Source organism: Homo sapiens, chromosome 7, assembly GCF_000001405.40.
Source record: "Homo sapiens chromosome 7, GRCh38.p14 Primary Assembly".
NCBI lineage: Eukaryota > Metazoa > Chordata > Mammalia > Primates > Hominidae > Homo > Homo sapiens.
Genome location: NC_000007.14, coordinates 4453608 through 4481109, shown reverse-complemented (window position 1 = coordinate 4481109; position 27502 = coordinate 4453608). Strand labels below are relative to the sequence as shown.

The 27502-nt window shown below is 45.1% G+C and overlaps 1 long non-coding RNA gene across 1 annotated transcript in view; it reads right to left on the bottom strand.

The window, feature by feature from the left end:
* Window positions 1-4667: 4667 nt before the first annotated feature.
* LOC124901579 (uncharacterized) overlaps window positions 4668-27502 on the bottom strand; it is a 41965-nt gene continuing 19130 nt past the window's right edge. Inside the window, exon 2 of the long non-coding RNA XR_007060198.1 lies at window positions 4668-4950. This is a non-coding gene — a long non-coding RNA (uncharacterized LOC124901579). The remainder of the gene's footprint in view (window positions 4951-27502) is intronic.

Sequence of the window (27502 nt, the reverse complement as noted above, 5' to 3'; positions counted from 1 at the left end):
GTGTATATACCCAAAGGAATATAAATCATACCATAAAGACACACAGAACTCCTTCACAGTGTGCAACTTTCAGAGGCTATGGGATGGGGCCACTTCCCAGAAAGGAGAGGGCAAAGGAACTCCTGGTGGAGAGGGGATCAGAGAGTGGGTCTGATGAAGTCTAGATGATGTCACGCATATGTTCACTGCAGCACTATTCACAATAGCCAGGACATGGAATCAACCTAAATGCCCATTAATAATAGACCGGATAAGGAAAATGTGGTACATATACACAACATAGAATACTATGTAGCCATAAAAAAAGAATGAGATCATGTCCTTTGCAGGGACATGGGTGGAGTTGGAGGCCGTTATCCTTAGCAAACTAACGTGGGAACAGAAAATCAAATACTACATGTTCTTACTTACAAGCGGGACCTGAATGATGAGGATACATGGACACAAAGATGGAAACAACACACACTGGGGCTGGCTATTGTTTTCTTTTCCTTTTCTTTTTCTTTTTTTTTGAGACAGAGTCTCATTCTGTCTTCCAGGCTGGAGTGCAGTGGCATGATCTTGGCTCACTGCAACCTCCACCTCCCGGATTCAAGTGATTCTCCTACGTCAGCCTCCCGAATAGCTGGGATTACAAGTGCCCACCACCACGCCTGGCTAATTTTTTTTTATTTTTAGTAGAGACAGGGTTTTACCATGTTGACCAGGCTGGTCTCAAACTCCTGACCTCAGGCAATCCGCCCAACTTGGCCTCCCAAAGTGCCGGGATTACAGGAGTGAGCAGCCACGCCCGGCCTGTTTCTTTTCTAATAAGAGCAACTAGGCTTGCCTTTCCGATCTCCTCACGGGGGGGCATCAGGTAGTGGATTTAAGGAAGCATCTATTGCAGCACTAAAAACCCATGCGTCTGTAACCCAGAGCCAATCCAGAGTTAAAAATGGAGAGCAAGGATTTTCAACTATTTCAACAATTTCAAAGTGGTTGGTGTTTGGCTATATCTCAGTCCATCGCATCATGTCACACTGAGATTCTATAAACTGGAATCTACCTTCAGGACTAGCAGGGTCCACTACTGGGGCGGGGGTCTGCAAACCTTTTCTGTAAAGGGCCAGAGTGCAAATATTTCAGGTTTTGCTGGCTCTGTGGTCCCCGTTGCAACTATTCAACAGTGCTGCTGTAGCAAGAAAGCTGACACAGACAATACATAAACCAGTGTGGCTGTGTGCCAATAAAACTTTATTGACAAAATGAGCAGTGGGCCGGATTCAGCCCATGGGGTGTTGTTTGCTGACCCCCGGTCTAGTGAAACCAGGAAGTCCAGCGAAAACCTGCGGGTGAAAGTAAAATGCCACCGAGTCAAGGGAGTAAAGTTCTAGTCCTAGCACCACCCTGACTAGCTCTGTGGCCTGAGGAGTATCCCCCATGTCTCTGGTCCTTCTATTCCTCAATAAGCACAGGAGGTAATTGTAGGGTTTGAGGGGTTTGGAGGCTGAGCAAAGAAAAAGACATGACCACAAGATGGCAGTAGAATGCATACGTTTTCTTTGGTCAAAGCCTTGACAGATTTGCTGGAGGGGGCGGTCCCTCATGGCATGCAAACTTCAGAGGCTATGGGATGGAGCTACTTACCGGAGGGAGGAGAGCAAGAGAACCTCTGCTGGAGAGGGGATCAGAGAGGGATCTGACGATGTCTAGGCAATGTTGCTTAGTCCCAAGTAGCCGGGACTACAGGTGTGTGTCAGCGTGCCAGCTAATTTTTGTATTTTTTGTAAAGAGAAGGTTTTGACGTGTTACTCAGGCTTGTCTTGAACTCCTGGGCTCAAGTGTTCCTCCTGTCTTGGCCTCCCAAAGTGCTGGGATTACAGGTGTGAGCCACTGTGCTTGGTCAGGCTAATTCTTTCTTTTTTCTTTTATATATACATATATATATATATATATATATATATATATATATATATACATGTATATATGTGTATATACATTATATATATATTTTAACTTAATTTTTGTGGGTACATAGTAGGTGTATATATTTATGGGGTACATGAGATATTTTGATACAGGCATGCAATATGAAATAAACACACCATGGGGATGGGGTATCTATCCCCTCAAGCATTTATCCTTTGAGTTACAAACAATCCAGTTACACTCTGTAAGTTATTTTAAAATGTAATTAAAGCCAGGCTCATTCTTTTATTTATTTATTTATTTATTTAAGATGGAGTCTTGGTCTGTTGCCCAGGCTGGAGTGCAGTGGTGCAATCTCTGCTCAGTGCAACCTCTGCCTCCCAGGCCCAGCCTCACGACTCGCTGGGATTACATGCACATGCCACCATGCCCAGCTAACTTTTGTATTTTTAGTAAAGAAAGAGTTTTGCAATGCTGGCCAGGCTCGTCTCGAACTCCTGACCTCAGGTGATCTGCCCACCTCAGCCTCCCAAAGTGCTGGGATCACAGGCGTGAGCCACCACGCCTGGCTGCTATGTTCCTTCTTAAGCCACTCTCAACTCCAACTTCCTTCCTGATTCTAGGATGGGCAGGTGGCTCAGGGCTTGGCTAATCACAGCCTGTGTCCCCCTGCACGCATAAGCCCATCAGGCTGATGAGGGACAATGAGCATTTGGTGGAACTGTTAGTAGAAGGGTGGCCCTTTCCCACTGGACTGGAACTGGGAAGACAGAAGTAGCTGATGGAGGTAACCTGCCTCCGTGTAGGGCCTGAGGATGAGAGCAGTGTGGAGGAAGGCAGCCTCCACACAAGGACAGACTCAGTCCTGTGAGCACTGTTTAAACCCCTGCTCCAAGCCTTGTCTGCTGCCAGGCGTGTCTGAACTTTTCTGTAACACGAGAAAGTCAAGTCACTTCTTTCTGTAAGCCACAGGGAATCAAGTTGTCTGTAACTCTCAGCTGGTATGACACTAATTGATACATATATTCTTTCTTTTTTCTTTTTTTTTTTTTTTTGAGACAGAGTCTCTCTCTGTCACCCAGAATGGAGTGCGGTAGCTCGATCTTGGCTCACTGCAACCTTCACCTCCTGGATTCAAGCAATTCGCATGCCTCAGCCTCCTGAGTAGCTGGGATTACAGATGTATGCCACCACACCTAGCCACGGATAGTTTCATGCTTTATTTCTTGTCCTTTGAGGAGTGGTTATTTTATTATTGTTCCTCCAGTAGTTTAGGAACAGATTAAAGAAGTTATACATCTGTTTCTATTTTTCTAGTAACTACCCTTTAACAGATTAAAAAGTTATACATCTATTTCTATTTTTCTTTTTTCTTTTTCTTTCTTTTTTTTTTTTTTTTTTTGAGATGGAGTCTCACTCTGTTGCCCAGGCTGGAGTGCAGTGGCATGATCTCGGCTCACTGCAAGCTCCGCCTCCTGGGCTCAAGAGATTCTCCTGCCTCAGCCTCCCAAGTAGCTGGGATTACAGGTGCCCGCCACCACGCCCAGCTAATTTTTTTGTATTTTTAGTTGAGATGAGGTTTCACCACGTTGGCCAGGCTAGTCCTGAACTCCTGACCTCAGGTGATCCACCCGCCTCAGCCTCCCAAAGTGCTGGGATTACAGGTGTGAGCCACTGCGCCTGGCCTAAAATGCTAAGTTCAAAATAATTTTCATCTCCAAAACTTTTGAGGTTACTGCTCTGTTGTCTTCCGGCATCCATTGTCCCCAGTGAGGAGCAGAACCCAATTTAATTTTTGTTTCTTTGTAGGGAAATTTCTTTTCTTTTCTCTTCTTGTCTTTTCTTTTTTCTTTTCGACAGAATCTCACTCTGTTGCCCAGGCTGGAGTGCAGTGGTGTGATCTTGGCTCACTGCAACCTCTGCCTCCTGGGTTCAAGGGGTTCTCCTGTCTCAGCCTCCCAAGTAGCTGGGACTACAAGTGCCCAACACCACGCCCGGCTAATTTTTGTATTTTTAGTAGAGATGGGGTTTCACCATATTGGCCAGGTTGGTCTCAAACTCCTGACCTCAAGTGATCTGCCCACCTCAGCCTCCCTAAGTGCTGAGATTACAGGCGTGAGCCACCATGCCCACCCGGGAAGTTGCTTTCTTTTTCTCTCTCTTTCCTTTCTCTCTCTTCTCCCTCCTTCTCTCTCTCTCTCCTCTCCTTCTCCTTTCTTCTCCCTCTCTCCTCCCTCTCTTCTGCCTCTCCTCCCTCTCCCCTCTCTCTCCTATTCCCTCTCTTTCCCCTGCTCCCCTCTCTCTCCCTCGGAATTTTTTTTTTTTTTTTTTTTTTTTTGAGACAGAGTTTCACTCTTGTTTCCCAGGCTGGAATGCAATGGTGCCATCTCGGCTCACTGCAACCTTCGCCTGCCAGGTTCAAGTGATTCTCCTGCTTCAGCCTCCTGAGTAGCTGGGATTACAGGTGCCCGCCACCACGCCTGGCTAATTTTTTGTATTTTTAGTAGAGACGGGGTTTCACCATGTTGGCCAGGCTTGTCTTGAACTCCTGACCTCAAGTGATCTACCTGCCTCAGTCTCCTAAAGTGCTGGGATTACAGGCGTGAGCCACTGCACCCAGACTGCTTTGAAATCTTTTGGAACTTACTCTTCACCCCTGTTGTTGTGAAATTTCCCAGTGCTGCCTGTAAGCGCTTATCTGTTTCACTCACTGTGATCAGCTTCCAGTGAACTCATTCAACACACATACATGTGTCTTCATTTATCTCTGGGTAGTTTTATTTCACTATTAATTTTCTCTCTCTCCTCTGTTCTGTCAATCCTTCACACAGGAAATTCACATGAGATGCCTTTTGAGCAGCTTGATTATTGGGGCCATAATTCATTTTCAGGTGCATTGATCTATTCTTCACCTGGTCTGTTGAGCTCCATGTTGGAACCATTATTTTAAATTTCTGAGGGTCCTCATGGTTTACTTTTCTTTATTCATCACCCTCCACACAAACATACATGCTGTCCCCTCACCAGGCATTTCTTTACCTGTGGAGACAAAACATACGAAAACCAGAAACCTTCTCAGTGTTACTTGGACATCATGCATTCATAGTTGCTCTTCACTTTGGTCATGCATAGCAAGGTCAGAAGAAAGGAACAGAACTGGAAGTTGTACTGTTTTTGTTTGTTTGTTTGTTGTTTTGTGACAGAGTCTCGCTCTGTCACCCAGGCTGCAGTGTAGTGGTGCGATCATGGCTCACTGCAGCCTCCACCTTCTGGGTTCAAGTCATTCTCCTGCCTCAGCCTCCCGAGTAGGTGAGACTACAGGTGTGCGCCACCATGCCCACCTAATTTTGTATTTTTAGTAGAGACGGAGTTTCTCCATGTTGGCCAGGCTGGTCCCGAACTCCTGACCTCAGGTGATCCACCTACCTTGGCCTCCTAAAGTGCTGGGATTACAGGCGTGAGCTACCGTGCCCGGCCATGATACTGTTTGTTTATTTATTTATTTATTTATTTATTTATTATTTTTTTTTTTTAAAAACTCCTGTCAAGGGTAAAGTTACCAATCTTGCGCTCACTTTGGAGCAACACAAGACTTCGTCTTCTCCTCAAAGTGGGACAAATGAACTAAATAGACTTTTTCTGAAATGCTCTACGACCTCTACTCTGCCGTTCCCCTTGTCGCACAGCTCTGTCAGTGAGGCTAAATTTAGATTGTCCCGTTACGAAACCAGGACATTCCATTTTTGTTCAAACAGGAATGACACAGAAGTCAGTTCAGCTGCTTTTAATTCATAAAACAGATGCAAATGTATCTGAGGAAATAAAAGCCGTTAATTGCAGTGTTATTTATAATGGCACAAATTGGAAACAACCAAAGTGGCCAAAAGCAGGAGAAAAGAAAATGAATCATGGGGTACTCAATCAAAGAATATTATGTAGACATCAAAAATGACAGCTACGAAGGCTCAGGGGCAAGACGGTAAGTGCTAATAGGAGGCTACGTGAAAAACAGGACTTAAAATTATACACGTGCTACTACGACAATGACGCATATGTCAAACGCACTGAAAAACAGGAAAAAATGAAAAAAAGTGGTAATGAATCAGGATACTTTTCATGGGGAAGTTTTTTTTGTTCGCTTTGTAAAGCCAAAGCTTTGCCATGTGAGATAACTTTTAAAAGATTAAATTATTAAGAGAAAGAGAAATAGAGAAAGAGAAAAAAAGAGAAAGAAAAAAGAGAGAGAAAGAGAAACAAAGAGAGGCCAGGTGCCGTGGCTCACGCCTGTAATCCCAGCACTTTGGGAAGTCGAGGCGGGAGGATGGCTTGAGCCCAGGAGTTCAAGACCAGCCTGGGCAACATAGTGACACCTTATCTCTACAAACAAACAAACAAACAAAATACAAAAATTAGCCAGGCATGGTGGTGTGTGCCTATGGTCCCACCTGCTCAGAAAGCTGAGGCAGGAGAATTGGTTAAGCCTGGGAGGCAGAGGTTGCAGTGAGCCAAGATTGCACCACTGCATTCCAGCCTGGGCGACAGAGCAAGACCCTGTCAAAAAAAAAAAAAAAAAAAAGAAAAGAAAAAGAAAAAGAGAGAGAGAAAGAAATACAGAAAGAGAGAGGGAAAGAGAAGAGAGAGAGAGAGAGAAATATATACATAATATATACAGAGAGAGAAAGAAAGAGAGCCAGAATTAAAATGACGGTGTTTGAGTAAACATTGCAATAGAATTGGTTTTTGTTTTTGTTTTGTTTTGTTTGTTTGTTTTTGAGATGGAGTCTCGCTCTGTTGCCCAGGCTGGAGTGCAGTGGGCTCACCTCAACCTCCGCCTGCCGGGTTCAAGCAATTCTTCTGCCTCAGCCTCCCAAGTAGCTGGGACTACAGGTGTGCGCCACTATGCCCAGCTAATTTTTTGTATTTTTAGTAGAGATGGGGTTTCACTATGCTGGCCAGGCTGGTCTTGAACTCCTGACCTTGTGATTCACCTGCCTCGGCCTCCCAAAGTGGTGGGATTACAGGCGTGAGCCACCACGTCCTAAGAGTGGTTGTGTGTGTGGAATACTTGTTGTGCCCTGGCCTCTTTAGTGACACAGTGGCTCACGCTGATCCAACCAGAGCTGCATGCAGTGGGACAAGCTCGCTGCTATTTGCCACCACTGATGGGTCAGGGCTTAGCATGAACTCTAACAATTTCTAGCCTCTTTGAGTTAAAATAAACTTCCTATTACTCAGGGTATGATTCAGGAGCTAGAATCTTCCTCTTTGTTCTGTATAGGTGGCCTGGCGCATGCCACCACACCCAGATAATTTTCGTATTTTTAGTAGAGATGGGGTTTCATCATATTGGTCAAGCTGGTCTCAAACTCCTGACCTCAGGTGATCCACCCGCCTCGGCCTCCCAAACATGAGCCACCACGCCCGGCCCCTCCTTTCTCTCTCCTCCCTCTCCCTCTCTCTCTTTTCCCTCTCTCTCTCCTCTCCCTCTCCTTTCTCCTCCCTGTCTCTCCTCTCTCTTTCTTCTCTGTCTTCTCTCTCTCCTCCCTCTTTGTCCTCTCCCCTCCTCTCTCTCTCCCTCTCTGTCTTCTCTCTGTCTCTCTTCTCTCTCCTCTCCTCTCTCTCTCCCTTTCCCCTGCCTCTGTCTCTCTCCCTCTCTGTTTTGGAATCTTTTGGGACTTCCTCTTCATCCCTGTTGTTGTGGAATTTCTCAGCACTGCCTGTAAGTGCTTATCTTTGCATTCACTGTGATCAGCTTCCAGTGAACTCATTCAACACAAATTCTCCTACTGACTAGTATTGCTACTAAGCTTTGAGCTCCAGTTGAAATGGAATGCCTGACCCACGGAGGCCCGATCCCAATTTCTTTGCTTGATACACCTAGTTTAGGTGATCGGTCAAGGAGCTCTAGGACTGAACTCCAGGCCTGACAAGTCAGAAGGGTCCACAAAGCCTTCCCTGTCCGATGGATGTGGGGGCATTGAAGACGGCCGTTGGCCGAGCCCCAGAGGTAACTCAGCCTTCTGTGACAAAGTCGCAGCTCTCCCTGTGAGACAAACCGTGTCTCCCTTTCTGCTTCCTGAAGCAAAGCCCAAGTGACCAGCTCTTTTGGGGCCTTTTGTTCACAAAGGTTCCCCTAAATGCCTGAGTCTGGCTGAGCTGAAACCCAGTGGCGTCTGCGCCAGCCATCCAGTCTCCGTCGAGCAGAACCTGTAGAGGCTACGGCCACTCAGCAGGTGGAGCTCAGCTGCTAGACCATGGCAAATCCGAGACAGCCTGTTAGGGGTGGGAACTGTGGAAAGAGACAGTGGTCGCTGGTGGAGCAGACTGGGTCACTCATGCAGATGGCTCGGCACTGACCGTGAGAGAGGAGAGGCAGGCATCCTGCAGGACAATGAGGGCTGCATTCGCCGAGTGCCTGCTGTGTGCTCTGATGAGGCCCACGGGAAGCAAGCAGCTGAGAGAGACTGTAACTCATTTTCAATTTTTCACAAATGAGGCTGCTGTGAACATGTGTGCTCTGACGTCCTATGTACGGGGGCTGGTGTAGAGTCAGAGAGGGAGAACTCTTGGATGGAAGGGTAGGAGAATTTGCTATTTTTACAGATGCTGGTAAATTGTCTTCCAAAGCAGGGTATGAGTGTTCCCATCTCCCTATGCTTTAAAAAAAATCAAGACAGGATCTTGCTCTGTCACCCAGGCTGGAGTCTAGTGGTGCGATCATAGCTCACTGCAGCCTCAACCTCCTGGGCTCAAGTGATCCTCCCACCTCAGCCTCCTGAGTAGCTGAGACTACAGGTACATGCCATCATGGCTAATTATTTTATCTTATTTTTTTGTTGTTGAGACAGGCTCTTGCTATGTTGCCCAGGCTGGTCTTGAACTCCTGGACTCAAGCAATTGTCTTGCCTTAGTCTCCCAAAGTGCTGTGACCACAGGTGTAAGCCACTGCACTTGGATCCTATGCTTTTTAACGTAGGATTTGAGAAATATTTTAACTGAAGTATACAGCATTTGAATTATGATTTTTTTTACAGCATTTGAATTATGATTTTTTTTTTTTGAGATGGAGTTTCGCACTTGTTGCTCAGGCTGGAGTGTAATGGCACAATCTTGGCTCACTGCAACCTCCGCCTCCCGGGTTCAAGTGATTCTCCTTCCTCAGCCTCCCGAGTAGCTGGGATTACAGGCATGCGCCACCATGCCCGGCTAATTTTTGTATTGTTAGTAGAGATGGGGGTTTCTCCATGTTGGTCAGGCTGGTCTTGAACTCCCGACCTCAGGTGATCCACTCGCCTGGGCTTCCCAAAGTGCTGCGATTACAGGTGTGAGCCACTGCACCTGGCCCTGACTTATGTTTTATTATACAATGTTTTTATTTAAAAACTCTAGTTTTGGCTGGGCGTGGTGGCTCACGCCTGTAATTCCAGGACTTTGGGAGGATGAGGCGGGTGGATCACCTGAGGTCAGGAGTTGAAGATCAGCCTGGCCAACATGGTGAAACCCTGTCTACTAAAAATACAAAACTTAGCCGGGTATGGTAGCACATGCCTGTAATCCCAGCTACTTGGGAGGCCGAGGCAGGAGAATCGCTTGAACCCAGGACGGGGAGGATGCAGTGAGCTGAGAAAGATCTCGCTCTGCCACACCACTGCACTCCAGCCTGGGCAACAGACCCAGATCTGTCTCGAAAACAAAAACAAAAACAAAAAAACTCCCAAAAAACAACCAATTCTAGTTTTGTCTAATACTCGATGCATTGCTTTAAAACAATTAACATATAATAATTGTACATATTTATGGGGTACATAATGATGTTGCAATACATATAATTTATAGTGCTCAGATCACAGTAATTAGCATATTCATGATTTCGAACATTTAGGATTTCTTTGTGTTGGGAGCATTCAGTATACTCCTTCTAGTGATTTGAAACCACATAATATATTATTGTTAACTGTAGCCATCCTACAATGCTATAAACACTAGAACTCATTCCTCCTATCTGACTGTAATTTTGTGTTCTTTAAGAAATCTCGGTGGGGCATAGTGGCTCTTGTCTGTAATCCCAGCACTTTAGGAGGCAGAGATGGAAGGATTGCTTGAGCCCAGAAGTTCAAGACCAGCCTGGGTAACATAGCAAGACCCTGTCTCAACATAAACTGAAAACAAAACTAGCCAGGTGCGACGGCATGCATCTGTAGTTCCAGCTACTCTGGAGGCTGAGGCAAGAGGATGGTGTGAGTTCAGGAGTTCAAGGCTGCAGGGAGCTATGATTGTGCCACCGCACTCCAGCCTGGGTGACAGAGCGAGACTCTAAGTCTTAAAAACCAAAAAACAAACCAAAAACCCAGAAATCTCTCCCTATTCCCTTGTTTTGAAGCATTGCTTTTTTTTTTTTGACAGAATTTCACTCTCATCACCCAGGCTGGAGTGCAATGGCATGATCTCCATCACTACAACCTTCACCTCCCAGGTTCAAGTGATTCTCCTGTCTCAGACTCCCAAGTAGCTGGGATTATAGGCGTGAGCTACCACGGCTGGCTAATTTTCATATTTTTTAGTAGAGACGGGATTTCACCATGTTGGCCAGGCTGGTTTCGAACTCCTGACCTCAGGTGATCTGCCCACCTCTGCCTGCCAAAGTTCTGGGATTACAGGCGTGAGCCACCCGCCCGGCCTGATGTATTGCTTTTTACTCAGAAACACTTACTGAGCACTTACTGGGTGCCAGGCACTGTCCTAGGTGCTGAACACTCAGGCGGATGCATAGGGGGACACAAAAAAGCCCTTTCCTGATGAAGCTTCCACTAGAAGTGGATGAGACAGCAGCAAAGATGCTGGGGTCTAATAACTGCACTCCCTTTCACAGGATGACAGACAGGGACAGGAGTTATGCAGAGATGTGAACTAGAGTCAGCAGTGGAGAGGGGATGCGATTTTAGGACAAGAAAAGCCTCTCCAATCTCATGACATGAGAGCAAAGATCAGAACGAAGTGATCAATATCAGAGGATCCACAGGTGCTGACTAAGTGAATTAGAGTTGCAAATAAAAATTTCTACCACAGCAGCACCTGTCTAAGACACATCACAACTGCCCCTTGTGTTCCATCACACCTGGCCCCAGCCAGCTGCTGCTGACAGAGGCGCATGCACTTGGACTGACCCCTGATACCCTCTGGACCAAACTGAAGACATTTCCCATGCCAATGAACAACGGGGCTTGTTTTAACCCCCATGCACACACCTGTGAGCTCATTCTGCTGCAACCACAACATTGGTGATCAATCCTCCATTAGCACAACCAGCAGGGCCCCCTATCCAGAATGTAAATGTTGTGTTATGCTCAGTGCATTTCTTCATGAGCTCTTCCTCCTTTGCTTGCATCTGAATAGACTCAGCTCTGTATTTTTTAAAAACAAGCTCTGGTCATTTTTCTTTATTCTTTCATAGTCTTTACTGTGCCTGATCTCACTGCATAGCAGCACCCACGCTATTCTTATCCCTTTGGTGCCTGCTACCCTGAAGTTGTGCCATGAATAATGACCAGAAATGAAAACAAACTTTCCAAAGCCTTCCAAGCAGTCCTTTTTTTTAATCACAGAGGAAGCCAGAAAAAAAATCACTTTGACATTCAGGAAGTAAGACAGAATTTACTTTCTGTAGCAGAGGAACTGTTGGGAGATTTCTGATTCCCTTTCAGCTGTCTTCGTTTCTAAGGAATGATTTTTGGTACCAACCAAGTATCCGGTGAGCTATTCTGGACCCTCGGTCAATTGGAAATGTATGAAGTTAAGAGCTGAGTCACCACTCAACAACTTTTGTTCATAATGCTGATGGTCATGGTTAATGTAATACCGTCATTCAAAGCACATATTTTGTCTTAATATTCTGTAGAATTACATTCACACAATTAGATAAACACACATTCATAAAAAATACTTTCTAGTGCCCTGTGCATTTCAAAGTAAAATCTATACAATATAAATATAACCGGGCTGGGTGTGGTGGCTCATTCCTGTAATCCCAGCACTCTAGAAAGCTGATTTGGGAAGACTGCATGAGCCCAGGAGTTCGAGGCCAGCCTAGGCAACATAGCAAGACCCCATCTCTACAAAAAAATAAGATAAAATAATTAGCCACAGTGGCATGTGCTTGCAGTCCCAGCTACTCAGGAGGCTGAGGTGGGAGGATCACTTAAGCCCAGGAGATTGAGGCTGCAGTGAGCTATGATTGGACCACTGCACTCCAGCCTAGGCAACAGAGTGAGACCCTGTCTAAATGCGCACGTGTGTTTGTGGTGTGTGCATGTGCACGAGTGTGTGTTTATATATTAATTATAGTACATTATACTAAATCATATTATAGTCTGATATGGTTTGGCTCTGTGTCCCCACTCAAATCTCATCACCAATTGTAATCCCCAGGTGTTGAGGGAGGGACCTGGTGCGAGGTGATTGGATCATAGGGGTGGTTCCCCCATGCTATTCTCATGATATTGAGTGAGTTCCATGAGATCTGATGGTTTAAAAGTGTTTGTCATTTCCCTCTCTCTCTCTCTCTGCTGCCATGTAAGATGTGCCTTGCTTCCCCTTACCCTTCTGTCATGATTGTAAGTTTCCTGAGGCCTCCCCAGCCATGTGGAACTGTGAGTCAGTTGGGCCTCCTTCCTTTATGAATTACCCAGTCTCAGGAAGTTCTTCATAGCAGTGTGAGAAGGGAGTCATACTTAGTCATAGGGTGACTTAGTGGTTTGATTATCTTGATCATTGGAGGTGTAGCTTTGGATCCGATTGAATGAGTAGAAATCCAATTTGATTGCTAAAATAGCTGGGATTTCATCCACCATAATTTTGCCTATTGATTAGGTTTAAACTGTTTCTGGAGCTTTAATGTGCATATCAGTGGAATCACATGGGGATCCTGTTAAAATGCACAATCTGACTCAAAAAGTCTTGGGTGGCACCTGGGAACCTGCATTTCTAGCCAGCTTCCAGGTGATGCAGATTGTTTTGGCTCATGGACTCCATGCCAAAGGACAGGGGCTACATCTTCCTGTGTGGTGTGCTTGGAGACTCTGGTGGGCCGAGCAGGGGTTGCAGGGCTTGAGGAATCTCTCTCAATTATTATACAATGTTTTTATTTAAAAAACTTGTCTGGGCATGGTGGCTTACACCTGTAATCCCAGGACTTTGGGAGGCCGAGGCAGGTGGGTGACTTGAGGTCGGGAGTTCGAGACCAGCCTGACCAATATGGTGAAGCCCTGTCTCTACTAAAAATACAAAATTAGCCAGGCATGGTGGCACATGCCGGTAATCCCAGCTACTTGGGAGACTGAGGCAGAAGAATCGCTTGAACCCAGCAGGTGGAGGTTGCAGTGAGCCAAGATTGCACCATTGCACTCCAGCCTGGGCAACAAGAGCGAAACTCTGTCTCAAAAAACAAAACAAAACAAACCCCCCCCAAAAAACAAAGAAAAAAAACCCCAAAAACTCTAGTTTTGTTTAATACCTGTTTTAAAAAAATCAAATTAACATATAATAATCGTACATATTTGTGGAATACATAATGATGTTGCCATACATAATAATTTATAGTGATCAGATCAAAGCAATTACCATATTTATTCATAATCTCAAACATTTATGATTTGAGGGCCTGGAAGCGACTGGAGTTTCCAGACTGGTCCTCTCCAGCCAAGAGCAGCCTCACATCTTGACACCAGTGGTTCCATTTTTGTGTGTGTGTGCTGTAATGAAGTCAGCAGCACCTTTGACTTTTAGACCCTAAACCATCAGTATCTGTTGGAAGTTTTTAAATTTCAAGGGACAGAAAAACACAATTCAGAACGACTTTGATGAAAAAGAAATTTATTGGTTCACGTAATTGCAAAGTCCAGGAATAGACCTGGCTTTCGGCATTCAGAGGATGTCACCTGGAGAGATGGGGTCTCACTCTGTTGCCTGGGCTGGAGTGCAGTGGTGCAATCACAGCTCATTGCAGCCTTGAATGCTTTGGCTCAAACAATCCTCCTGCCTCAGCCTCCCAAGTAGCTGGGACTGCAAGCACGTAATAGCACATGTGGCTAACTTTTAAGTTTTTTGTAGGGACAAGGTCTCGCCATGTTGCCCAGGCTGGTCTCGAACTCCTGGGCTCAGGCGATCCTCTTGTCTCAGCCTTCCAAAGCATTGGGATTACAGACGTGAGCCACATGTGCCTAGATTCTATATTATTTTAGCTCCACTTGCCTCCAAGAGGAGGCTGGTTTCCTTATATTCTCACATTCTTAGACTCCTATTCCTGTTCATTCACTGTGATCAGCTTTCAGTGAACTTATTCAACACAAATACTACTACTGACTAATATTGCTACTGAGCTCTGGTTGGAATGGAATGCCTGACCCATGGAGGCCTGATCCTGATTTCTCTCCCTAGTTTAGGTGGTAGGTCAAGGAGCCTGAGATGGCTGGGGCACCTCTCAAGGTCACGGTTGCTGGGTCCCACCCTCAGGGTTTCTGATTCAGCAGGCTTGGGTAGGAACCAAGAACTTGCATTTCTAACAAGCTCCTGGGTGATGCTGAAGCTGCCAGTCTGAGAGCCATGCTTGAGGACCCCCCTCCCTCCAACCATCCTATTTTCTTTTCTTTTTCTTTTTCTTTCTTTTCTTTTTCTTTTTTTTTCTTTTTTTTTTTTTTTTTTAGCTGGAGTCTCACTCAGTTGCCCAGGCGGGAGTGCAGTGGCGTAATCTCGACTCACTGCAACCTCCGCCTCCCAGACTCAAGTGATTCTCCTGGCTCAGCCTCCTGAATAGCTGGAATTACAGGTGTGCATCACTACACGTGCATATATATATTTTTTTTTTGTATTTTAATAGAGATGGGGTTTCCCCATGTTGGCCAAGTTGGTCTTGAACTCCTGACTTCAAGTGATCCACCTGCCTCGGCCTCCCAAAGTGCTGGGATTACAGGCGTGAACCATTGCACCCGGCCCAACCATCCTATTTTCAAGCCTCCCTCTTTTTTGGTACTCATCTCTAGGTCTCACCATGGACTGCCTTGTGTTAGTGATGAGACTGCTCTGTGTTCCTCTCATCTCAGCCATGTTCAAGCCCCTGAGAGCTACGGATGCCCGTTCTCATTCAGAACACAATAGACACGAAAATTGCCAATGAGCTTCTAGATTTGGAGAGAAAAAGCTAAAAGCCTCTGTTAGTTGCTAACCCTGCAGAAGTCCTCTTTAACCCACAACTTGCCTCCTTTCAACATTCCTAATAGGGTACCCATTTATCCGCATACCTCACCACTGTCCCCCACAAAACACAGCCTCATTTACAACTCTATAAAGGAAAATTTCATACGCTTTCCCTAGAGATTTAAAGCAAGGAGTCATTAGCGTAAATGCTGTTCCCACTCAGCAATTTGAAGGAAATCTAAATGCTCTTCCTCAGATGGTGCCAATTACAACAGCCGGTGGAGGTGACCTCCTGCCTGCCCCACGCTGTGGCGGCAATCACCGTGTATCTTCTCAAATCGAGGCAAAGTGGACTCTATTCTTCCCTCAGCTTGTAAGCACTCTCCTTGTGTGCCTGGCACAATTCTCTCTGTGCCTCTGCCCTGTGCTCTTTTCCGTTCTGGCTACAAGATGACTAAGAGAGATGAAAACTATGCAAGCATACAGCCAATCTCTGCTTGTGTCATTTATGCTGGACATCCTTTTGGCCAAAGCCAATACCCAACATCAGCACAGCAGGAAAGTAGATTCTGCCTCTGTAAGACTACACAGCAAGCATGCATGCTAGACAAACAAGAATTCAATCTACCAGACCCTGCACCCACCTCTGCTGGGGAAGAGTTTTTCCTCTCCGAAGAATCTTCAAAGGAAAAAAGAACTGGGCCAACAAAACATCACATCAGCCTTTATTTGCTCAAAAGGAATGTGTAGGCTGGGCGTGGTGGCTCACACCTACAATCCCAGCACTTTGGGAGGCTGAGGCAGTTGGATCACCTGAGGTCAGGAGTTCAAGACCAGCCTGGCCAACATGGTGAAACCCATCTCTACTAAAAATACAAAAAAAATTAGCTGAGCATGGTGGTGGGTGTCTGTAATCCCAGACTCGGGAGGCAGGAGAATTGCTTGAACCCAGGAGGCGGAGGTTGCAGTGAGCCGAGATTGCACCACTGCACTCCAGCCTGGGTGACAGAGCGAGACTCCATCTGAAACAAAAAACAAACAAACAAACAAAAAACAAAAAAAGAAAGAAAAAAAGGAAGGTGCAGTTTACCACTTCAGGCCAGACTGGCTTTTCCCTTGGGCAGCATAGATGATTATGTAGAAGTGTCTTGGAGGGCTGTCTTGTCTGAAATCCTACAGTTCATTTCCTGGGGTTCAGTAATGTTCCCACATGATACTCTTTCTAATAATACAAATTTCATTTCCTTTCATTCCATTCACAATACCTCCGTGTGAAGAAGCCAGGGACTGCATGAAGACACTGAATGGCTCAGTAGGAGAAGTGGTGAATGAGATTTGCTGAAATGCAGGGTGTGGTAAATTGAATTCTTGTTTGTCTAACATGCATGCTTGCTGTGTAGTCTTACGGAGGCAGAATCTATTTTCCTGCTGTACTGATGTGGGGCATTGGCTTTGGCCAAAAGGATGTGAGCACAGATGACACAAGCAGAGATTTGCTGTATGCTTGCACAGTTGGACAGGCACTCTTGCCCTTCCGTTATTTACATGAGAAGAGCTTCCCCTGAATAGCTTCTGGCCCTTGAACATGGACCCCATAATGAGTACACATGGTGCAGACTGAGATCCAAATCATAGAGGTGGAAGGGGTGGGGCCGACCAGACTCGTAGCTTGAAGAAGCAAAGACTCCCAGATGAGCCCAGTTTAGTTCAAAAAACACATGCTATTTTTCTTTACCACCGAATTCTTTTTGATCTGTTTGTTACACAGCAATAGCTGACTGACACAGAGGTCAAAGATGCTGGTGAGAAAGTTGAGATTGCCAAATAAGACTTTATTACCTTCTCAAAGTTGCCTAGACAATCTCTGCTCCCATATCAGAAATCACAGATCCATGCACGGCTTTACCAAAAACCTGATTCATTTTTGTCTCCTTCATGATGATTTGCAGGATAATGATGTCATTAAGAAGCTTTTAAAACTTTCACATTAGCCAAAGGATGGGATCAGAAGAAACACTTTGGCAGGATTTCAAAACCGAAGGGGAGTTGTGAGAGGTGGGTTCATTTATAATAAAAACAAATGACTTGAAGGTTTTAGTTTTCAATTATTAACATTCTAGTGCCAAAGGCCCAGCCATGCAATTTAGTTCTTAGCTATTTTTGCTAATATCTCCTCAATGCTTGACGTCTAAATACCCAGTCAATCAACAGCCATTACAGAGTTATTACACGCAGTGTTGCGTATGGAGCTGGGGAGAGAATATAAGAAGAAAAAATGCTCCCTATTCTTTGAGAATTTATAACTTAGAGTAAACACAAGCCATACATAGATCAATTATTCATTTAAATGTTGAAAGAATTTTATCAATGGACTTTTAATAACTTTTAATTTTTATACATTATTATAATGTGTGTTTCTTTCAAGTAACTTACAAAATATACAAAAGCACAAAGAAAAAATGGATTGCCAATAATCCTAACATTCAGACAGGCACTGTTAACACTGTGATGAATAATTTTCAAACATTTTTTAAGGTAAGCATATTTTTGTACACACGTTTCTTTTTAAAAGCAATGTTGTTTTTGGCAATGGCTATCTTCCATGTTAATAATTATTGATCTGTAGCATAATTTTAATGGCTGTAAAGTATTCCCCTGCATAGGTATGCCATTATTTGTTTCATCAATCTCCTACCAATAGTCATCTAGGTTATTTTCTGAGTTTTCTCTATTATAAAAAGCAATGCTGTTAACATCCTCATACATTCATCTGCATCCAATGGTCCCCTTCTGGTCTTAGGACAAGCTCCTATGAGTGAAATTTTTAGGTTAAGTGTGTGGTATTTCTAGAAAGCATTTGATCCATGTGGGTAAACTGACTTCCAAAGTTTCCGTTTTAAATGTCTTCTCTAAAAAAAAATTATTTTGAGTAGATAGTCATGTCTCAATTGAAACATGTCATGAGGTCGGGCATTGTGGCTCATGCCTGTAATCCCAGCACTGTGGGAGGCCAAGGAGGGTGGATCACCTGAGGTCAGGAGTTTGAGACCAGCCTGGCCAATGTGGAGAAACCCTGTCTCTACTAAAAATACAAAAATTAGCTGAGCGTGGTGGCGGGTGCTTGTAGTCCCAGCTACTTGGGAGGCTGAGGCAGGAGAATCGCTTGAACCCAGGAGGCAGAGGTTGCAGTGAGCCGAGAGCGCACCACTGCCCTCCAGCCTGGGTGACAGAGTGAGGCTCTGTCTCAAAACAGAGAAAAAAAAAAAAAAAGAAACATGTCATGAGTTTGAGTCTGTCTCTTGAAGTCAAAGGCTATTTTCTCAAGTTGATAAGTTGGTTTGAAAAGCCTGATGTACGTGCAACTCAATTAAAAACTTTGAATTTTGCTCCTTTTTTTTTTTTTTTGAGATGGAGTTTCGCTCGTGTTGCCCAGGCTGGAGTGCAATGGCGTGATCTTGGCTCACTGCAATCTCCTCCTCCCGGGTTCAAGTGATTCTCCTGCCTCAGCCTCCCGAGTAGCTGGGACTACAGGCACCCGCCACTATGTCCAGGTACTTTTTTCTCCTGTTTTTAGTAGAGATGGGGTTTTACTATGTTGGCCAGACTGGTCTGGAACTCCTGACCTCAGGCGATCCACCCGCCTTGGCCTCCCAAAGTGCTGGGATTACAGGCGTGAGCCACTGCGCCCGGCTCAAGTTTTGCTCCTTTCTACTTAATGTCCGTAAGTCCCTTCTTTCTCTGTAGTTCACCGGAAGATCAGGTATACATGTGCAGAAAAGAAAATGGGACAGAAGGTGTGACGGCATTGCTCCTGAGACTTTGAGTCTAACTCATTCTGCTTGCCTTGTGTTTCTCCTCCCGGCTCGCCATCCTCACAGCCGTGACTACTTTCAACCAACCAGGCACTCATCTCCATCACCGGACACTTCCAAACGGCTCCAGTGTTTCCATGGATCTGAAAACTGCCTTCAGGTGGGACCAGTACTGCCTCACTCACCAGATGCCCCCCTGCTCCCTGATGGTTAAGGCTGGGTGCTTCACCCACGCGCTGACCTTGGTTTGCTTCTCTGGGCAGACAAGTTTTGCTCTAAATCAATGATCTTCTGATTTAGCGGAAAAGGATATTGCACGCAAGGAAGGAGCTCATAAAGGAACTTAAATGTGGACGTACAAGTTTTGCTCTAAATTGAGGATCTTCTGATTTAGCAGAAAAGGATATTGCACGCGAGGAAGGAGCTCACAACGTAACTGAAATGTGGAGTCTCTTTCACAGAGTGGTGTAGAACTAACAGACCCAGGAAGGGGCACTTCCTGCCCTGATGGGGTGGCTTTTCACTGGGTTTCTTTCTACCAAGTTCTTCTTTTCCCCCACGCTCTTTCAGTTTCTGGTCCCCAAGTTCTGTGTCTGACCTTATGGAGAGTTAAAAAGCAACGAAAACCAAGGCCAAATATAGCAAAAGAAAAGAAGGAAAGAGAACTGAGGGCGCCTGCATTCTCTACATTTCCGGAGATACCCAGATTCCTTGGGTTCTTTTACGTGGAATTTGCTCTTTCCCCATCTGATTTCTCTGACTTCATCTAGGGAACCACAAGATGGGCAGGGGCTGAAGTGGGCCCCTCCCTTAAATCCAAGCCACGTCTGCAGAAGTCAGTGATTTTACAGCTTTCTCTGGAGGAGGAGGGGGGTGCTATTATCCTAACTACTCTTTCCACCTCTGTCTCTTGTTTTAAAAGGTACATCTAAAGCAGAGGGCACGCAAAGGTCGAAAACAAAAGGATGGAGAAAAATATCTGGCCGTAATAATATACTACCCAAAAGACTGTGGTACTTAGGTAAATATTAGACGAAATGGACTTTAAGACAAAAAGCATTAGAAGGCATAGAGTTGGTCTCTGCATAATGGTAATAGGTTCTATTCAGCAAGAAGATACAGCCATTCTATACAGGGATACACTGGGTAAAATATCCCTAGACAGATGAAGCTACAAATGGACAGAACTGCAGGGGAAATTGATAAATAGACCCTTACAATTCTTTCAGTTATTGATAAGCCAATCAGGTGATCAATGAGCAAAGATATGGGAGATCCGCACAAGCCACAACCTTGACCCACATGGAATTCTGCCTTCAGTGCTAGATACACAGAGAGCCCTGACCACCTGCAGACACTAATTGTGTGGTTGCTAGGCCACACAGCAGCCTCCATAAATCTTACAGAACAGGTTTCATACAGCTTTTGTTCTCTGATTACATGGCTATGAAGTTAGAAGCTTCTTGCTCTGCCACCCAGGCTGGAGTGCAGTGGTGCAAATCATAGCTGACTGCGGCCTTGACCTACTGGGCTCAAGTGATCCTCCTGCCCCAGCCTCCCAAATAGCAAGGACCATTGGTGCATGCCACTATGCCTGGATAATTTTTTTTTTTTTTAAGAGATGAAGTCTTGTTATATTGCCCAGGCTGGTCTCAAACTCCTGGCCTCAAGTGATCCTCTTGCTTCGGCCTCCCAGAGTGCTGGGATTATAGGTGTGAGCCACTGGTACCTGGCCAAGTTAAAAGTTAATACAAAAAGGTCAATTTTTAAATGCTCACAAGTTGGGAATTTAAAAACACACTGCTAAATAACTTGTGGATGAGCAAAGAAATCTTAATGCAAGTTGAAAAAGAGTCAAAAGGCGTGAAGTGGGCGGCCTTTCAAACTGGACCCTTCGTCCTTTTAAGGTCGCCATATGAATCTTTGACAATGACCTTGCTTTTTGAGCAAAAACAAAATGTCCCAGGCTTATCACATGCCCTTTGGTCTCAGATGTTGGGTCAGCTGTTTCTACAAGGAATGTTGGTTCCTGTTAGAGGAGGCTGATATTTAGATATCAAAATACAGGTGCAAAGGTGCTCGCTGTCCCTGTAATGTGCACCTAGGACACCCTGGCTTGTCCTTGCTTCTACATCTTTTCAGTAGACACATGCATCTTTTTTTTTTTTCTTTCTTTCTGAGACGGAGTCTCACTCTGTCACCCAGGCTGGAGTGCAAAGGTGCGATCTCAGCTCGCTGCAACCTCTGCCTCCCAGGTTTAAGTGATTCTCCTGCCTCAGCCTCCCAAGTAGCTGGGATTACACGCGCTTGCCACTGCGCCTGGCTAATTTTTGTATTTTTAGTAGAGATGGGGTTTCACCATCTTGGCCAGGCTGGTCTCAAACTCCTGACCTCGTGATTCACCCACCTTGGCATCCCAAAGGGCTGGGATTACAGGCGTGAGCCACTGCGCCTGGCCAGACACATGCATCTTATGAAAATCACAAGTTCATTCTGAGAATTCAAGTGTCACTATTCAGTATTTCATATTTTTATGTTACTATTGAACATTTAAATTTAAAGTCATTTAAATATTAGTTTAATTTAAAAAATCTATTTATTTAACTTAAATGTTTAAAATTTAATATTCAAAAACAAAATCCAGCAAATAAAAACTTTCTAAATTTTACAGTTGTATTTCCTTCCTTTTATAGTGAAAATCTTGTTTCACCTATGATCTACCTTGGCTTGTTTCAAAATAATAATATCAATATTACTTAACACTAGAGCAAAACAAATGTGGCTGCAGTTTTATTTTATTTTAGTGCTCAAAATATGACCCACTAAGAAAGTATGCTCAAAGTCTCATATTCTAAAATTGTGTGGAATATTTCTTAATAATTCTTTTCTTTGTGTGCTTATGCTATCAATTTTATGCACAATTAGGCCCCTTCATTTCAGTTTGGTGCAAATTTTTAGGGATTTACTTATACTGTTTTGTTTATTTATTTTTTCTCTTTTTTTTCCTTCCTTCTTTCCTTCCTTCCTTCCTTCCTTTCTCCCTCCCTCCCTCCCCCACCCCTTCATTCTTTCCTTCTTTCTTTCTTTTTCTTCTTTCTTGAGTTTTGCGCTGTCACCCAGGCTGGAGTGCAGTGGCACAATGATCTTGGCTCGCTGCAGCCCTGACCTCCTGGGCTTAAGTGCTCCTCCTGCCTCAGCCTCCCGAGTAGCTGGGACTACAGCCATGTACCACCACACCCGGCTAACCTTTTACATTTTTTAGTAGAGATGACGTGTTGCTGTGTTGCCCAGGCTGGTCTCGAACTCCTGGACTCAAGTGATCCTCCCACGTTAGCCTCCTAAAGTGCTGGGATTACAGGCATGAGTCATGGAGACTGCCTGTCTTATTTTGTTTTGATTTAATTTTGTTTTTAAAGAAAGCTATTTTAAGTAATTACGTGGTTCCAATAGCAAAATCATGTAACACAGAATATTCAAGGAAGTTGGAATTCCATCTCTGTTCCCTCCACCCATTCCTCCCTGGCCCCATAGGTAACCAGCTGTAATTAGTTGCTGGTTTGAAAAACAGAGGGGGTGTGTGTGTGTGTGTGTGTGTGTGTGTGTGTGTGTGTGTATGTGTGTGTTGAAAGAATGAGAGAGAGAGTGAATCCCTCCCTTTTAAACTCGAAGTCTAACATACTGTGTGAGTCAGGAAAGGCTGTGCTTTCACATAGATTTGATTTGGTAACAGCCCCAAATCTGAGGTGCTTAATCTAACAAAAGGTCATCTCTCACTCACATGGCTTCTCCACCGAGGGTCCGCAGGAGGCATCTCTGCAAGGTCAGAGGCCCCTGCCTACTGCCTTGCCCTCCCGCAGTTGTGCGGGCTGGAGCGCACACCCACGCACTTCCCATGATGGGGAAATGAAAACAGCTGAGACTGTTGGCAGCCTTTGCCAGTTTCCTGAGCCAACACCAACTCTTCCCTCCTCATGCTATTATTGTTAAGTCTCTAATTTTTTGTATTAAGTCTCTCCGAGCTGGAAATGTTAAATCGGTCTCTATTTTCCTGAGCAAACTCTGATGATACAGGTGGAGTCTGGCTCTTATTTTCCCCAATTTGGCATCTTACAATTTCCAACTCTCACGGAGAGAGGGGCGAGTATCTCAGGTCGGGGGGCACCTCTAAGGTTACAGCCATCAGAACAAAGGAGCATTAGCCTCAGCAGACACTCAGATGTATGACAGAGCAGCGCTCGTGGAGATGGCTAAGGCTTTGGGGCAGGAATAGAGAAAGGCCAAGGAATAGACTTGGGAATCTAGGAATAGGTTCAAGTACCCATGGGAACCTGGTGAGTGATGATGTGGCATTGGCTTTCAAATCACAGGCAAAAACTGGATTATTTAACATATCATTTTAGGCAAATTGACAAGCCTTTTCTTTGTCTGAGACGGAGTCTCGCTCTGTCGCCCAGGTCGGAGTGCAATGGTGCGATCTCAGCTCACTGCAACCTCCGCTTCTTGGGTTCAAGTGATTCTTCTACCTCAGCCTCCAGAGTAGCTGGGATTACAGGTGCCTGCCACCACGCCCAGCTAATTTTTTTTTTTTTTTTTTCTGTTGCAGAGTCTTGCTCTGTCCCCCAGGCTGGAGTGAGTGACGTGATGGCCAGACTGGTCTCGAACTTGGTCACATTTTTTTTTTTTTTTGAGACAGAGTCTTGCTCTGTTGCCCAGGCTGGAGTGCAGTAGCACGATCTCAGCAGACTGCAACCTCCACCGCCCCGCCAGGTTCAAGCAATTCTCCTGCCTCAGCCTCCCGAGTAGCTGGGACCACAGGTGCCCACCACCACGCCCAGCTAATTTTTTGTATTTTTAGTAGAGATGGGGTTTCACCGTGTTAGCCAGGATGGTCTTGACCTCCTGACCTCATGATCCGCCTGCTTCGGCCTCCCAAAGTGCTGGGATTACAGGCGTGAGCCACTGCGCCCAGCTGACCACATTCTTTTTAAAAAAATTAGTTCCGCTGCACTCAAGTGATCTTCCTGCCTCAGCCTCCCTAGTAGCCAGGACTACATGCGTGAGCCACTGTGCTTGGCTCAGTTTAAAACATTTTTGTAGAGATGGGATCTCACTTTGTTGCCCAGGCTGGCCTCAAACTCCTGGCCTCAAGCGATCTTCTTGCCTCAGCATCCCAAAGTGTTAGGATTATAGGTGTGAGCCACCACACCCAACAAAAATGTAAGCTTTATGAAGGCAGAAACTTGTTTTTTTATTGCTGAATTTCCAGTACAATCACAGTGCCCAGGACTTGGGGGAAGCCCTGTAACTGTTTGCTGAATGAATCCAGATCATCAAATAAGACATTTGCATGGATAGTCCAGGGATCAGAAAATGTGACTTGCGGGTCAACTTCCGGCCCTCCTCTTGTTATTGTAAATAAAGTTTTACTGAAACACAGCCACGCCTGTTAACTTACTTTTGCACCACGGTGACAGAAGTAAGTAGTTGCAACTGAGACTGTCTGACCTGCGAAGCTGAACACTACTATCTGGCCTTTTACTGAAAAAGCTTGCCCACTTCAGGCCGGGCACAGTGGCTCTTGCCTTTAATCCCAGCACTTAGGGAGGCCAAGATGGGTGGATCACCTGAGGTCAGGAGTTTGAGACCAGCCTGACCAACATGGTGAAACCCCGTCTCTACTAAAAATACAAAAATTAGCCAGGTGTGGTGGTGGGCCCCTGTAATCCCAGCTACTTGGGAGGCTGAGGCAGGAGAATCGCTTGAACCCGGGAGTCGGAGGTTCCAGTGAGCTGAGATCATGCCATTGTACTCCAGCCTGGGTGACAGAGCAAGACTCTGTCTCAAAACAAAACAAAACAAAAGTTTGCCCACTTCTGTATTAGTTGATCAGATCAGCCAGTTTCCTCTAGGAGGGCAGCACTTTGGAGGGAAAAATATGGGATTCATTTTGATTTTTCAACACTTCCTTTTTGACCTCATTCATCATTTATTTAGTCGGACATTATACCGAGACGTCGGATTCTATGGATGGGTAGGGAGCCAGCTAAGCCGGGTAGGGTAGAAAGATGTGTCAATACAGGTCCACAGTCCTTACATGCAACTCCAAAATTCAGAAGTTTTGCAAACTGAAAGTTTTTGGAGCTCTGTTAGCTGCAAAACCTGACCTGAGCTGATGAGAGACTATTTATAATCATTATTTTCCCCACTTACTCTGAATATTCATGTCTTTTGCTGCAGAAATATTAATGGTTTTGATCATGGGGTGCTGCATCCAGATCCCTCAGGGGTTTTAACGCACTACAGAGCAGCTGTGGACGCAATGTATTATCTTTTTGAAAGCTGCAAGATGCTGAATTCTGAAACACATCTGGCCCCAAGTGTTTCAGATAAGACACCTTGGCCTCTAATTGTAACATGACACCATATAGTTATAAGTGAGTTACAAACGGAGGGCTCGACTTTGTACGACTTTGTACACTGGGAGAAGAAAAATCCTATAAAATTGAGGAGGCTTGGGGACTCAGGTGGGCGGCTCTTAGTGGGCATCTGGTCACTAAGTATATATTAGACATTCAGAAATGTTTGGGGAGATGACAGAGGAAGGGAGGGAGAGTTCCAGAATAAGCTAGAAAAATCAAAAGCAAATTTCTCATTTTTCCTAGGGCTGACCCTATCTTAGGCCCCTTCTGTTATGAGTTGAACTCATTCACCTCCCAGTGAAATTGTGCCACTTCTGTGATGTTGATGTCTTTCTGACCCTTTCTGTGATCTTTTCTTTTTGACTGATGTCCCCTTCCCTAGATATCTAGTATCCTCGTGTTGGAGGCACTCCCCTACATTTCCGGTTCTGGTTCTGGTGAGGACACTGTAATGACAGAGCTCCCTGTCCCCGGCCTCCTATATCACTAGCTCAGGTGTCAACACAAGGTGTGTACTGATTGGAGAGGGCAGGTCACATGTCTCTGCTTGAGTTGCAAAGGAAGCTGGGAAAATGAGGTCTAGCATTTTCAGGCCTGGTCGTGGGAGCAGTCTTTACCACTCCATGTGGATCCCCTCCCCCAACTCCCCAAGAAGATGAGAACTTGTCAAATGCTAAGAGGGGTTAAGATACTGGGCAAGGCTGGGCGTGGTGGCCCACACCTGTAATCCCAGCACTTTGGGAGGCCGAGGTGGGTGGATCACAAGGTCAGGAGATCGAGACCATCCTGGCTAACATGGTAAAACCCCGTCTCTACTAAAAATACAAAAAATTAGCCAGGCGAGGTGGCGGGCGCCTGTAGTCCCAGCTACTTGGGAGGCTGAGGCAGGAGAATGGCATGAACCCGGGAGGCTGAGTTTGCAGTGAGCCGAGATCGTGCCACTGCACTCCAGCCTGGGTGACAGAGCAAGACTCTGTCTAAAAAAAAAGAAAAGAAAAAAAAGATACTGGGCATGTAGGATGAATGACACATTGGCCAATGTGTTGGAGAAGTAGAATGATTGTAAAACAAAATGGAGCTAGAAAACCAATGAAATCATGGAAATTCCAAAATGATCTATTGTTTGGATTGTGTTTTCTATGCATTTAGGCCAATCTTTGCATTTTATTCTATCCTCAACTTGGGATTAAATTATACTTTCAGAAGCTAGTCATTTTTTATGTACTGATTGAATGACTTCATTGAGTTGAAAGAACATTCAGCTAGCTGCCTTTAATTGCTTTTTCCCTTTAAATCAAAGGTGCTGAGATTCAGGCCTAGGTCTGCTCCAAATTAAGTGATTATATGTTGTTGCCTTCATACTCTCCTCTAGTAAATAGGCTATTCACTTCCCCTCCTAAAAGTAATGACCCATTCACAGAGGTAATACCTGCCGGCCGGGCGCGGTGGCTCACGCCTGTAATCCCAGCACTTTGGGAGGCTGAGGCAGGCAGATCACAAGGTCAGGAGTTTGAGACCAGCCTGGCCAATATGCTGAAACCCCATCTCTACTAAAAATACAAAAATTAGCTGGGCATGGTGGCGTTTGCCTGTAATCCCAGCTACTCGGGGGCTGAGGCAGGAGAATCACTTGAACCTGGGAGGCAGAAGTTGCAGTGAGCCAAGATCGTGCCACTGCACTCTAGCCTGGGCGAGAGGGCGAGACCCCCACCTCAAAACAACAACAACAAAAACACACATCTGGCATCCTGAGTGTTTGGCTTCCTGGGGAGAGGTGCATTTTCATAGTGTAGGCAGCTCCCTTAGAATTCTTATTAAAAGGATCAAACTAAAGGATAGAGAGAGATAACGGGAATGGCTGCCAGGATAAAGTAGGAAAAGTGATGTCTGTAATCGAGTTGCTTTTCTGTTTGCTGAATTTGATTCATTAAAAATGGAGAGTGATTCAGCACCTATTCTATGTAGAGCTTTACTACCACGGCAGCATAATCTCTCTCTATCTATCTATGGCATAAGGTCAGGGCTGTTGAGATCTGTCTCTCTCTTTTTGTTTCTCTCTATGTATCTATCTATGTATATATATATATATATATATATATATATATATATATATATATATATATGTATCTATCTATCTATTATCTATCTATCGTCTATCTGTCATCTATCTAT